The 13,203-nt window shown below is 40.6% G+C and overlaps 1 long non-coding RNA gene across 1 annotated transcript in view; it reads right to left on the bottom strand.

Moving 5' to 3' along the window:
• The window catches only part of LOC101927045 (uncharacterized), a 59,245-nt gene extending 46,062 nt beyond the window's left edge, over positions 1 to 13,183 (bottom strand). The window contains exons 1-2 of the long non-coding RNA NR_110032.1: positions 12,995 to 13,183; positions 10,564 to 11,852 (exon numbers count right to left, since the gene is read on the bottom strand). This is a non-coding gene — a long non-coding RNA (uncharacterized LOC101927045). The remainder of the gene's footprint in view (positions 1 to 10,563; positions 11,853 to 12,994) is intronic.

The raw sequence follows: 13,203 nt of genomic DNA, 5'->3' as shown, positions 1-13,203 counted from the left end.
TCCCTTGCATTTCTTTTTATTTTAACTACAAATATATTTAGCCCCTCAATAAAAAAAAGTATAATTTTGCATACTTTTAATCTCTTGGTAAATAGCATTATATTGTAGGTACTTTTCTGCAACTTCTTTTTTGTTTAACATTATAGTTGTGAGATTCACTTCTTTTGAAATTTGTAATTCCAGATACATCTAGTTAATTTAATTTCTTACTCCATTTAAATTTATTATGGTTACTGATTATTTCTGTTATCTTATTTTGGCCTTTCTAGTTTTTTCTAAGCATCCTCTTTTTATCTTTTCCTGATAACTTTTAAATTGATTAGATTATCTTATTCAATTGTTTCCCTCTACTGATTTAGAAGTGCACACTTTACTTCTAATATGCAATATTTAGCCTTAATTTTTAAATTTACATTTAACAAAGTTTAACATTATTCAGTATTGCTATATTTTTCATAACAATTCAACTCCAGTCAAATATTTCTCTTACTACCTATTACTGGTGACTAATATTTTTAATTTTTACCCACAAATTAAACATTATTGTTGTTGCTTAATATAGTAAATATTTATATTTATCAACTTTATCAATTCCTTTGATCACTATTTTCCTGCATCTTACATTTTCCTTTTCAGATCATTTCCTTTTTTCCTGACAAAGTATATTAAGTCTGATGGTGGCAAATGCTCTCAGTTTTTGCTTGTCTAAAAAGTATCCTTGTTTTACCTTCATGTTGGGAATAGGCCCCCAAATCTGGCCATAAACTGGCCCCAAAAGTGGCCATAAACAAAATCTCTGCAGCACTGTGACATGTTCGTGATGGCCATGACCCCCATGCTGAAGGTAGTGGGTTTACTGGAATGAGGGCAAGGAACACCTGGCCCACCCAGGGTGGAAAACCACTTAAAGGTGTTCTTAAACCACAAACAATAGCATGAGCAATCTGTGCCTTAAGGACATGTTCCTGCTGCAGATAACTAGCCAGAGCCCATCCCTTTGTTTCAGCCCATCCCTTTGTTTCCCATAAGGAATACTTTTAGTAAATCTATAATCTATAGAAACAATGCTTATCACTGGCTTGCTGTCAATAAATACGTGGGTAAATTTCTGTTCAGGGCTCTCAGCTCTGAAGGCTATGAGACCCCTGATTTCCCACTCCACACCCTATATTTCTGTATGTGTGTCTTTAATTCCTCTAGTGCCGCCAGGTTAGGGTCTCCATGACCGAGCTGGTCTCGGCACCTTCATTCTTGAATAATGTGTTGGTAAGCAATTCTAGGTTGGTAATTATTTTCTCTTCAAGCTTGAGATATTATTCCATTAGATGATATTGTTGCAGCTGATGTGTCAGGTGTCTAATTGTTATTTCTTAGGCTGGGCATGGTGGCTCGTGCCTGTAATCCCAGCACTTTGGGAGGCTGAGGCAGTGGATCAATTGAGGTCAGGAGTTGGAGAGCAGACTGGCCAACGTGGCAAAACCCCATCTCTACTAAATATACACAAATTAGCTGGCTTTGGTGGCATATGCCCATAATCCCAGGTACTCAGGAAACTAAGGCAGGAGAATCACTTGAACCCAGGAAGTGGAGGTTGCAGTGAGCTGAGATCCTGCCACTGCACACCACCCTGAGCAACAGAGAGACTCCATCTCAAAAAAAAAGGCATTTCTTTATAGATAATCTGTCTTCTTTTTGACTACTTTTAACATCTCTCTTTGTTTTTCCAGTTTTACTATGATGAAACTAGGTATGGGTTTGTTTTTATTTATCTTACTTGAAACTCATTTTGTTTACTGAATCTGAGGATTCATATCTTTCTTTAATTCTAGAAAACAATCAGCTATTATTTCATCAAATATTTTCTCTGTTCTCTTCTCTGACTCCTCTCTTCTGGAACACCAAATAGAAGAATTATAATTTCTCAGTTTATCATCCTCATCTCATACCCTCTCTTTTACATTTTCTATCTCTTTTTCTCTGTTGCATTCTGGGTAATTTCTTCACATCTAGTTAATCCTCTCTTAACCAATGCCTAAATCTATTCCCTGATGTTTAAACATTCACTGAATTTTAAAACTTGAATCATCATGGGTGGATCATTCCAAAATGGCCGAATAGGAATAGCTCCAGTCTATAGCTCCCAGTGTGAGCGATGCAGAAGACGGGTGATTTCTGCATTTCCAACTGAGGTACTGGGTTCATCTCACTGGGACTTGTTGGACAGTGGGTGCAGAACACAGAGTGTGAGCTGAAGCAGGGTGGGGCATCACCTCACCCGGGAAGTACAAGAGGTCGGGGAATTCCCTTTCCTAGCCAAGGGAAGCCGTGACAGACGGTACCTGGAAAATTGGGACACTCCCGCCCTAATACTGTGCTTTTCCAATGGTCTTAGCAAACGGCACACCAGGAGATTATATCCCATGCCTGGCTCAGCAGGTCCCACACCCATGGAGCTTTGCTCACTGCTAGCACAGCAGTCCAAGATTGAACTGTGAGGCGGCAGCCCGGGCTGGGGGAGGGGCGTCCGCCATTGCTGAGGCTTGACTAGGTAAACAAAGTGGCCAGGAAGCTCGAACTGGGTGAAGCCCACCACAGCTCAAGGAGGCCTGCCTGCCTCTATAGACTCCACCTCTGGGGGAAGGGCACAGCTGAACAAAAGGCAGCAGAAACTTCTGCAAATTTAAACGTCCCTGTCTGACAGTTTTCAAGAGAGCAGTGGTTTTCCCAGCACAGAGTTTGAGATCTGAGAATGGATAGACTACCTCCTCAAGTGGGTCACTGACCCCTGAGTAGCCTAACTGGGAGACATCTCCCAGTAGGGGCCAAATGACACCTCATACAGCCAGGTGCCCCTCTGAGACAAAGCTTCCAGAGGAAGGATCAGGCAGCAACATTTGCTGTTCTGGAACATTTGCTGTTCTGCAGCCTCCGCTGGTGATACCCAGGCAAACAGGGTCTGGAGTGGACCTCCAGCAAACTCCAACAGACCTGCAGCTGAGGGTCCTGACTGTTAGAAGGAAAACTAACAAACAGAAAGGAATAGCATCGACACCAACAAAAAGGACATCCACACAAAACCCCATCTGTAGGTCACAATCATCAAAGATCAAAGGTAGATAAAACCACAAAGATGGGGAGAAACCAGAGCAGAAAAGCTGAAAATTCTAAAAATCAGAGTGCCTCTTCTCCTCCAAAGAAATGTAGCTCCTCGCCAGCAATGGAACAAAGCTGGACAGAGAATGACTTTGACGAGCTGACAAAAGTAGGCTTCAGAAGATCAGTCATAACAAACTTCACTGAGCTAAAGGAGGATGTTTGAACCCATCACAAAGAAGCTAAAAACCTTGAAAAAAGACTAGATGAATGGCTAACTAGAATAAACAGCATAGAGAAGACCTTAAATGACCTGATGGAGCTGAAAACCATGGCACAAGAACTACCTGAGGCATGCACAAGCTTCAGTATCCTATTCGGTCAAGTGGAAAAAAGGGTATCAGTGATTGAAGAGCAAATGAATGAAATGAAGCAAGAAGAGAATTTTAGAGGAAAAAGAAATGAACAAAGCCTCCAAGAAATATGGGACTATGTGAAAAGACCAAATCTACGTCTGATTGGTGTACCTGAAATTGACAGGGAGAATGGAACCAAGTTGGAAAGCACTCTTCAGGATATTATCCATGAGAACCTCCCCAACCTAGCAAGGCAGGCCAACATTCAAATTCAGAAAATACAGAGAATGCCACAAAGATACTCCTCGAGAAGAGCAACCCCATGACACAAAATTGTCAGACTCACCAAGGTCGAAATGAAGGAAAAAATGTTAAGGGCAGCCAGAGAGAAAGTCTGGGTTACCCACAAAGGGAAGCCCATCAGACTAACAGTGGATCTCTCAGCAGAAACTCTCAAAGCCAGAAGAGAGTGGGGGCCAATATTCAACATTCTTAAGGAAGAGAATTTTCAATCCAGAATTTCATATCCAGCCAAACTAAGTTTCATAAGTGAAGGAGAAATAAAATCCTTTACAGACAAGCAAATGCTGAGAGATTTTGTCACCACCAGACCTGCCTTAGAAGAGCTCCTGAAGGAAGCAGTAAACATGGAAAGGAACAACCAGTATCAGCCACTGCAAAAACATGCCAATTTGTAAAGACCATCGATGCTAGGAAGAAACTGCATCAACTAACGAGCAAAATGACCGGCTAACATGATAATGACAGGATCAAATTCACACATAACAATATTAACCTTAAATGTAAATTGGCTAAATACCCCAATTAAAAGACACAGACTGGCAAATTGGATAAAGAATCAAGACCCATCTGTGTGCTGTATTCAGGAGACGCATCTCACATGCAGAGACACACATAGGCTCAAAATAAAGGGATGGAGGAAGTTCTACCAAGCAAATGGAAAACAAAAAAGCAGGGGTTGCAATCCTAGTCTCTGATAAAACAGACTTTAAACCAACAAAGATCAAAAGAGACAAAGAAGGCCATTACATAATGGTAAAGGGATCAATTCAACAAGAAGAGCTAACTATCCTAAATATATATGCACTCAATACAGGAGCACCAGAATTCATAAAGCAAGTCCTTAGAGACCTGCAAAGAGACTTAGACTCCCACACAATAATAATGGGAGACTTTAACACCCCACTGTCAACATTAGACAGATCAACGAGACAGAAAGTTAACAAGGATATCCAGGAATTGAACTCAGCTCTGCACTAGGTTGACCTAACAGACATCTACAGAACTCTCCACCCCAAATCAACAGAATATACATTCTTCTCAGCACCACATCGCACTTATTCCAAAATTGACCACACAGTTGGAAGTAAAGCACTCCTCAGCAAATGTAAAAGAACAAAAATTATAACAAACTGTCTCTCAGACCACAGTGCAATCAAACTAGAACTCAGGATTAAGAAACTCACTCAAAAACGCTCAACTACATGGAAACTGAACAACCTGCTCCTGAATGACTACTGGGTAAATAACGAAATGAAGGCAGAAATAAAGATGTTCTCTGAAACCAATGAGAACAAAGACACAACATACCAGAATATCTGGGACACATTTAAAGCAGTGTGTAGAGGGAAATTGATAGCACTAAATGCCCCCAAGAGAAAGCAGGAAAGACCTAAAATCAACACCCTAAGCTCAAAATTAAAAGAACTAGAGAAGCAAGAGCAAACCCATTCAAAAGCTAGCAGAAGGCAAGAAATAACTAAGATCAGAGCAGAACTGAAGGAGATAGAGACACAAAAAATCCTTCAAAAAATCAATGAATCCAGGAGCTGCTTTTTTCAATAAGAGCAACAAAATAGGCAGACCGCTAGCAAGACTAATAAAGAAGAAAAGAGAGAAGAATCAAATAGATGCAATAAAAAATGATAAAGGGGATATCACCACTGATCCCACAGAAATACAAACTACCATCAGAGAATACTATAAACACCTCTACACAAATAAACTAGAAAATCTAGGCCGGGCGCGGTGGCTTACGCCTGTAATCCCAGCACTTTGGGAGGCTGAGGTAGGTGGATCACAAGGTCAGGAGATCGAGACCATCCTGGCTAACATGGTGAAACCCAGTCTCTAATAAAAGTACAAAAAAATTAGCCGGGCATAGTGGCGGGCACCTGTAGTCCCAGCTACTCAGGAGGCTGAGGCAGGAGAATGGCATGAACCTGGGAGGCAGAGCTTGCAGTGAGCTGAGATAGTGCCACTGCACTCTAGTACTCTAGCCTGGGTGACAGAGTGAGACTCCGTCTCAAAAAAAAAAAAAAAGAAAGAAAGAAAGAAGAAAAGAAAATCTAGAAGAAATGGATAAATTCCTGGACACATACACCCTCCCAAGACTAAACCAGGAAGAAGTTGAATCCCTGAATAGACCAATAACAGGCTCTGAAATTGAGGCAATAATTAATAGCCTACCAACCAAAAAAAGTCCGGGACCAGACGGATTCAAAGCCAAATTCTACCAGAGGTACAAAGAGGAGCTGGTACCATTCCTTCTGAAACTATTCCAATCAATAGAAAAAGACAGAATCCTCTCTAACTCATTTTATGAGGCCAGAATCATCCTGATACCAAAGCCGGGCAGAGACAACAACAAAATAGAATTTTAGACCAATATCCCTGATGAACATCAATGCAAAAATCCTCAATAAAATACTGGCAAACCACATCAAAAAGCTTATCCACCACGATCAAGTTGGCTTCATCCCTGGGATGCAAGTCTGGTTCAACATACACAAATCAATAAACGTAATCCATCATATAAACAGAACCAAAGACAAAAACCACATGATTATCTCAATAGATGCAGATAAGGCCTTAGACAAAATTCAGCAGCCCTACATGCCAAAAAACTTTCAATAAACTAGGTATTGATGGGATGTATCTCAAAATAATAAGAGCTATTTATGACAAACCCACAGCCAATATCAAACTGAATGGGCAAAAACTGGAAGCATTCCCTTTGAAAACTGGTACAAGACAGGGATGCCCTCTCTCACCACTCCTATTCAACATAGTGTTGGAAGTTCTGGCCAGGGTAATCAGGCAGGAGAAATAAATAAAGAGATATTCAATTAGGAAAAGAGGAAGTCAAATTGTCCCTGTTTGCAGATGACATGATTGTATATTTAGAAAACCCCACCGTCTCAGCCCAAAATCTCCTTAAGCTGATAAGCAACTTCAACAGTCTCAGGATACAAAATCAATGTGCAAAAATCACAAGCATTCCTAAACACCAATAACAGACAAAGAGAGAGCCAAATCATGAGTGAACTCCCATTCACAATTGCTTCAAAGAGAATAAAATACCTAGGAATACAACTCACAAGGGATGTGAAGGACCTCTTCAAGGAGAACTACAAACCACTGCTCAATGACATAAAAGGGGACACAAACAAATGGAAGAACATTCCATGCTCATGGATAGGAAGAATGAATATCATCGAAATGGCCATACTGCCCAAGGTAATTTACAGATTTAATGCCATCCCCATCGAGCTGCCAATGACTTTCTTCACAGAATTGGAAAAAACTACTTTAAGGCTCATATGGAACCAAAAAAGAGGCCGCATTGCCAAGACAATCCTAAGCCAAAAGAACAAAGCTGGAGGCATCATGCTACCTGACTTCAAACTATACTACAAGGCTACAGTAACCAAAACAGCAGCGTACTGGTACCAAAACAGAGAGATAGACCAATGGAACAGAACAGAGCCCTCAGAAATAATACCACACATCTACCACCATCTGATCTTTGACAAACCTCACAAAAACAAGAAACAGGGAAAGGATTCCCTATTTAATAAATGGTGCTGGGAAAACTGGCTAGCCATATGTAGAAAGCTGAAACTGGATCCCTTCCTTACACCTTATATAAAAATTAATTCAAGATGGATTAAAGACTTAAATGTTAGACCTAAAACCATAAAAACCCTAGAAGAAAACCTAGGCAATACCATTCAGGACATAGGCATGGGCAAGGACTTCATGTCTAAAACACCAAAAGCAATGGCAAAAAAAGCCAAAATAGACAAATGGGATCTAATTAAACTAAACAGCTTCTGCACAGCAAAAGAAACTACTATGAGAGGGAACAGGCAACCTACAGAATGGGAGAAAATTTTTTGCAATCCACCCATCTGACAAAGGGCTGATATCCAGAATCTACAATGAACTCAAACAAATTCACAAGAAAAAATCAAACAACCCCATCAAAAAGTGGGTGAAGGATATGAACAGACACTTCTCAAAAGAAGACATTTATGCAGCCAACAGACACATGAAAAAATGCTCATTATCACTGGCCATCAGAGAAATGCAAATCAAAACCACAATGAGATACCATCTCACACCGGTTAGAATGGCAATCATTAAAAAGTCAGGAAACAACAGGTGCTGGAGAGGATGTGGAGAAATAGGAACACTTTTACACTGTTGGTGGGAGTGGAAACTAGTGTGGAAGGGAGTGTGGTGATTCCTCAAGGATCTAGAACTAGAAATACCATTTGACCCAGCAATCCCATTACTGGGTATATACCCAAAGGATTATAAATCATGCTACTATAAAGACACGTGCACATGTATGTTTACTGTGGCACTATTCACAATAGCAGAAACTTGGAACCAACCCAAATGTCAATCAATGATAGACTGGATTAAGAAAATGTGGCACATATACACCATGGAATACTATGCATCCATTAAAAAGGATGATCCATTGTAGGGACATGGATGAAGCTGGAAACCATCATTCTGAGCAAATTCTCGCAAGGACAAAAAACCAAACACTGCATGTTCTCACTCATAGGTGGGAACTGAACAATAAGAATGCTTGGACACAGGGTGGGGAACATCACACACCGGGGCCTATTGTGGGGTGGGTGTGGGGGGAGGGATAGCATTAGGAGGAATACCTAATGTAAATGATGAGTTAATGGATGCAGCACACCAACATGGCACATGTATACATATGTAACAAACCTGCACATTGTGCACATGTACCCTAGAACTTAAAGTACAATAAAAAATTTTTTGAATTAAAAAAATTTTAATTTTTCAAAGTTCAGGTTGGTTCTTTTATCAATTCTGCTGGTATTTTTTGATAGCATCTTGTCTCTTTCTCATGTTTTTAATTTCTTCTCTTTCTTAAACGTTTTAAACTTTGGTAATTTTATATTCTATACCTCTAAATTCTAACACTTTAAATCTTTGTCTAAATCTGCTGTTTTCTGTTTCGGTTTGGTTTGATTTTATTTGACACCCTCAGAGTGCTTTGTTTCCTTGTGTGTTTTGTAATTTTGTATTGTATGTTTATGCTTGGCAGGATTTTATCTATTGAAATCCTGTGAAACCAAACCAAGGGAAGATTTATGTCTTCTATCTGGAACACTTAATTTAAATTCTTGGGTTAGAGCTTTCTAGGCCAAGTAGGTAACAATTAATTCAAACCACAAATATGCAGGCGGACAGGACAATAGATACAACTTCTCAAAGAACGGTAATTTTTTTGACAACCAATCCTAGACAAGAGCAAAGCCTAGAGAAACAAGTTTCCAGGCCATGTTCTTTGATACCAGGTGGACTTTTAAAGTTTACTTTTTATCTGAGAACACAGCCCAAGGGCTTTATCCAGGGGTCTCAGTCCCAAATTTGCTTCGATCTCAGGCATGGTCTCCTGTCACCCAAGCCTCTGGGTTACTGAAACTAAAAGTCACAAAATACCTGTTAAAGAAAATTATTCAGTGACACTTGATAGAGTAAGGTAAGGAAGACTTTCCATCACAATAGGTACAGGTACCACTACAATGTGGTCTTGCAGTGGGAGAGATTGGGGTCAAGTATGAAACAACATGGGCAAGTGGGAATTTATAGCCAACGAATACGGTGGGGGTCAGTGGATGAAAAATTAGTAAGAGAAAAATATCAAGGGTAAGAGGGATTCTGGCTAACCCAAACTAACGGGATTCATGTGAAGATAGGCCAAGGTGATCAGACATCACCTAGGGGATGAAGGATGAGGGGCCTGATCAGAGATTGAGAGTGATCAGATATCAAGGGTTGAGGGGGTTCTTGCTAAACTGACTTAGCAAGGCTCTTTGCGAAAACTGGATTTTACAAAGAGGTGTACAAATGAGCCTAGAAGGTTCAGAAGCCTGACTAAAGTTTGGCCAAGCAAATAATCTTTGTCATAACCTCAGTCCCAAGACACATTTCATTTTTTGGCTTCTGGGATTTTTTTATTTTTCTAGCTAACTTGGCAATACATTTAAATGGAGGTATGTTTAATTTTATCCAGCATATCCAGGAATTTTAAACTGGGAGTTTTTTAAACTATACGTGCCACTATAATGTTCCCCTCATATGGTTTTCAAAGATCACTCAGCTTGCAATGTGTGAAATAGTTTGGAGAGGAGAAACATGCAAAAGCAGGAAGACCTACTAGGAGACTACTGCAGATATTTACACAAGACAGAATAACTCATAAGACGATTGTGATGGCAGAGACAGAGGGAAATATGAGGAAATTTCAAAATGTTGTGGAAAAATCAATTAAAAGATTAAAAAATATAAAATATAAACTTTATTTCTCAACATAAGTTCCACCAACTTCAAGACACTTTCGTAAGAAATGACACCAGCCATTTAGTACACCCTAAAGAACTGAGGGTCCTGGAGACTTAACCACATCAATACAGTCCTTTTTACATTATTAACTGAAGAAAACTGGGTGCCCTTGACAGAATTTCTTAAGATTAAGAAACAAAAAGAAGTCAGAAGGAGCCAAATCAGGTGGATGCCTAAAGATTTCCCATTGAAACTCTAACAAAATTGTTCTTGTATGATGAGAGACATGAGCAAAAGCATTGTCACGGTGGAGAAGAACTGTCTAGTGAAGCTTTCTCAGGTGTTTTTCTGCTAAAGCTTTGGCTAACTTTCCCAAAACACTCTCAATAGGCAAATTAATGTTATCATTCTTTGGTCCTCCACAAAGTCAACAAGGAAAATACCTTGAGTAGCCTAAAAAAACTGTTGCCATTACCTTTGCTCTTGACTGGTCTGCTTTGCTTTGACTTCCTCCGCTTGATAGACATTGCTTTGATTGTGCTTTTTCTTCAGGATCATACTGGTGAAGCCATATTTCATCTCCTGTTACAATTCTTTGATGAAATGCTTCAGGATTGTATTAGTCTGTTTTCACACTTCTATAAAGAACTGCTGGGGACTGGGTAATTTATAAAGAAAACAGGTTTAATTGAGTCACAATTCCGCATGTCCCAGGAGGCCTCAGGAAACTTATAATCATGGTGGAAGGCAAAGGGGAAGCAAAGACCTTCTTCACATGGTGGCAGGAAAAACAGTAAGTGAAAAGCCCACAGGAAACTGCTACTTATAAAACCATCAGATCTCATGGGAACACCCTCACTATCATGAGGACAGCATGGGGGAAACTGCCCCCATGATCCAATCACCTCCCACCAGGTCTTTCCCTCAATAGCTGGGGATTACAATTCAAGATGAGATTTGGGTGAGGTCACAAAGCCATATCAAGGATCTTGACCCCACTTGTTTAAACTTTCCACTGAAAGCTCTCCTCTTAACTGTAGCAGATCTGGGTACAACAGTTTTGTTACCTATCGAGTTGAAAGTTTGCTCCACTGTAACTTTTCAGTCAGAATTGTGTAAACTGACCCAACTGAGATGTCTATGGTGTTGGCTATTGTTTCTGCTGTTGTCAGTTCTCTTCAATTAGGGCACAAACAAGATGAATTTTTTTCCTCACAAAGTGATGTGGATAGTCTGCCACTATCTGTATCTTCAACATCATCTCCTCCCCTTTTTGTTGAGACAGGTTCTCACTCTGTTACCCAGGCTGCAGCACGGTGGTGCAATCATAGCTCACTGCAACCTTGAACTGCTGGGCTCAAGCAATCCTCCTGCCTCAGCCTCCCAAGACGCTGGAACTACAGGTGTGCACCACCACACTTGGCTAATTTTTAAATTTTTAGTGAGATGAGGTCTCGCTATGTTGCCCAGGCTGGTCTCAAACTCCTGGGCTTGAGAGAGGCTCGTGCATAATCCTCCCAAAGTGCTGGGATTACAGGCATGAGCCACCATGCTTGTCCATCTCCTCGTTTCTTAAAATGAGTTATGCATTTGTAGACTGATGATTTATTTGGGGCATTGTCCTCATAAACTTTTCATAAGGCATCAATTTCATCATTCTTCACCAGAAACTCCATGTTTGTTCTTGCTTCAATTTTAGCAGAATTCAGGTTGCTTTGATAGGGGCTCTTTTCAAACTGTCTAGCCTTCTTAGTGCGTCAGATCCTGTTCAGACATGTTATATAACAAGTTAGTACAAGTTTATTTTGGTGTAAAAAAAATTTGGGGCCGGGCGCGGTGGCTCACGCCTGTAATCCCAGCACTTTGGGAGGCCGAGGCGGGCGGATCACGAGGTCAGGAGATCGAGACCATCCCGGCTAAAACGGTGAAACCCCGTCTCTACTAAAAATACAAAAAATTAGCCGGACGTAGTGGCAGGCGCCTGTAGTCCCAGCTACTTGGGAGGCTGAGGCAGGAGAATGGCGTGAACCCGGGAGGCGGAGCTTGCAGTGAGCCGAGATCCCGCCACTGCACTCCAGCCTGGGCGACAGAGCGAGACTCCGTCTCAAAAAAAAAAAAAAAAAAAAAAAAAAAAAAAAAAAAAATTGGAAACCTATGTATTTTTTAGCATAATACACATTTTCCATGAACTTTTCAAAGACCCCTCTTAGATAAATCTGGGAGAGATTCAGTATTTAAAATCAACAGGGTTTCAGACGTCCAAGAAGAGATGTGTAGTGAAAAGTTTTTATAGGGGTTAGGAGCTCAGAGGAGAGATCCGAGTTGCATAGGAGATTTGGGATGTCTTCTGTTAAAGCCTGGTAACTGAATTCAAGGCATAGATGCCTAGGGTAAAGTGCAGATTGGAAAGAGAAGGTCCTAGGATCCAGCTCTGAGGAATACCAATATTTTAAGAACTTAGCAGAGGTGGAGCAAGCATCAGAGACTGAAAAAAGGTACGAGAAAGCCGAGAAGAGAATGTCTTTCACTGAAGCCAAACATTTTCAAAGGGAGGAAGGAATCAGCAGGTGCCCATTGATACTGAGAGGTCAAGAAAACTAACTGAAAACTAGGGATTAGATTTGGTGACACATGGGAAACTTATGTTCTTGGAGAGTGAGGAAATGAATGATAAAGGCACAAACCCTATAGGAGTGAAGTAAGAAGTAGAAAATGGAAACCACACTTGTGGGAAGTTTGGCTATGAAGGCAAAAAAAAAAAAGAATATTAGCTGGAGGAAAAACAGGTCTGGAGAAGGCTTATTTTAATATAGGGGGATCTTTGGAATGTTTAAATGTTGATAGAAAGGCTCCAGCGGAAAGAGAGAGAAGAAAAAACTGGCCGAGTGGAAAGAAATCCAGATTACCGGTGGAAGGGTTCTCTTGCATTACTGACCCGCCAACTTAATAGACATCCAAAATTCTGAGGTCTGGGTAGCTTCGGGTTTTAGGTGAAGGGTTTTGTTGGTTTGGGTTTGGTTTGGTTGGTTTTCTACACTAAAGCCTTCCCTCCTCCGCCCTTTCCGGGTCCATCGGTCTAATCCCTCCCACCTCGCTTGCTATTGAAACACCCAGC

The sequence above is a fragment of the Homo sapiens genome, chromosome 14 (genome assembly GCF_000001405.40).
Source record: "Homo sapiens chromosome 14, GRCh38.p14 Primary Assembly".
Classification (NCBI taxonomy): domain Eukaryota; kingdom Metazoa; phylum Chordata; class Mammalia; order Primates; family Hominidae; genus Homo; species Homo sapiens.
This window is presented reverse-complemented; position numbering and strand designations above follow the sequence as displayed.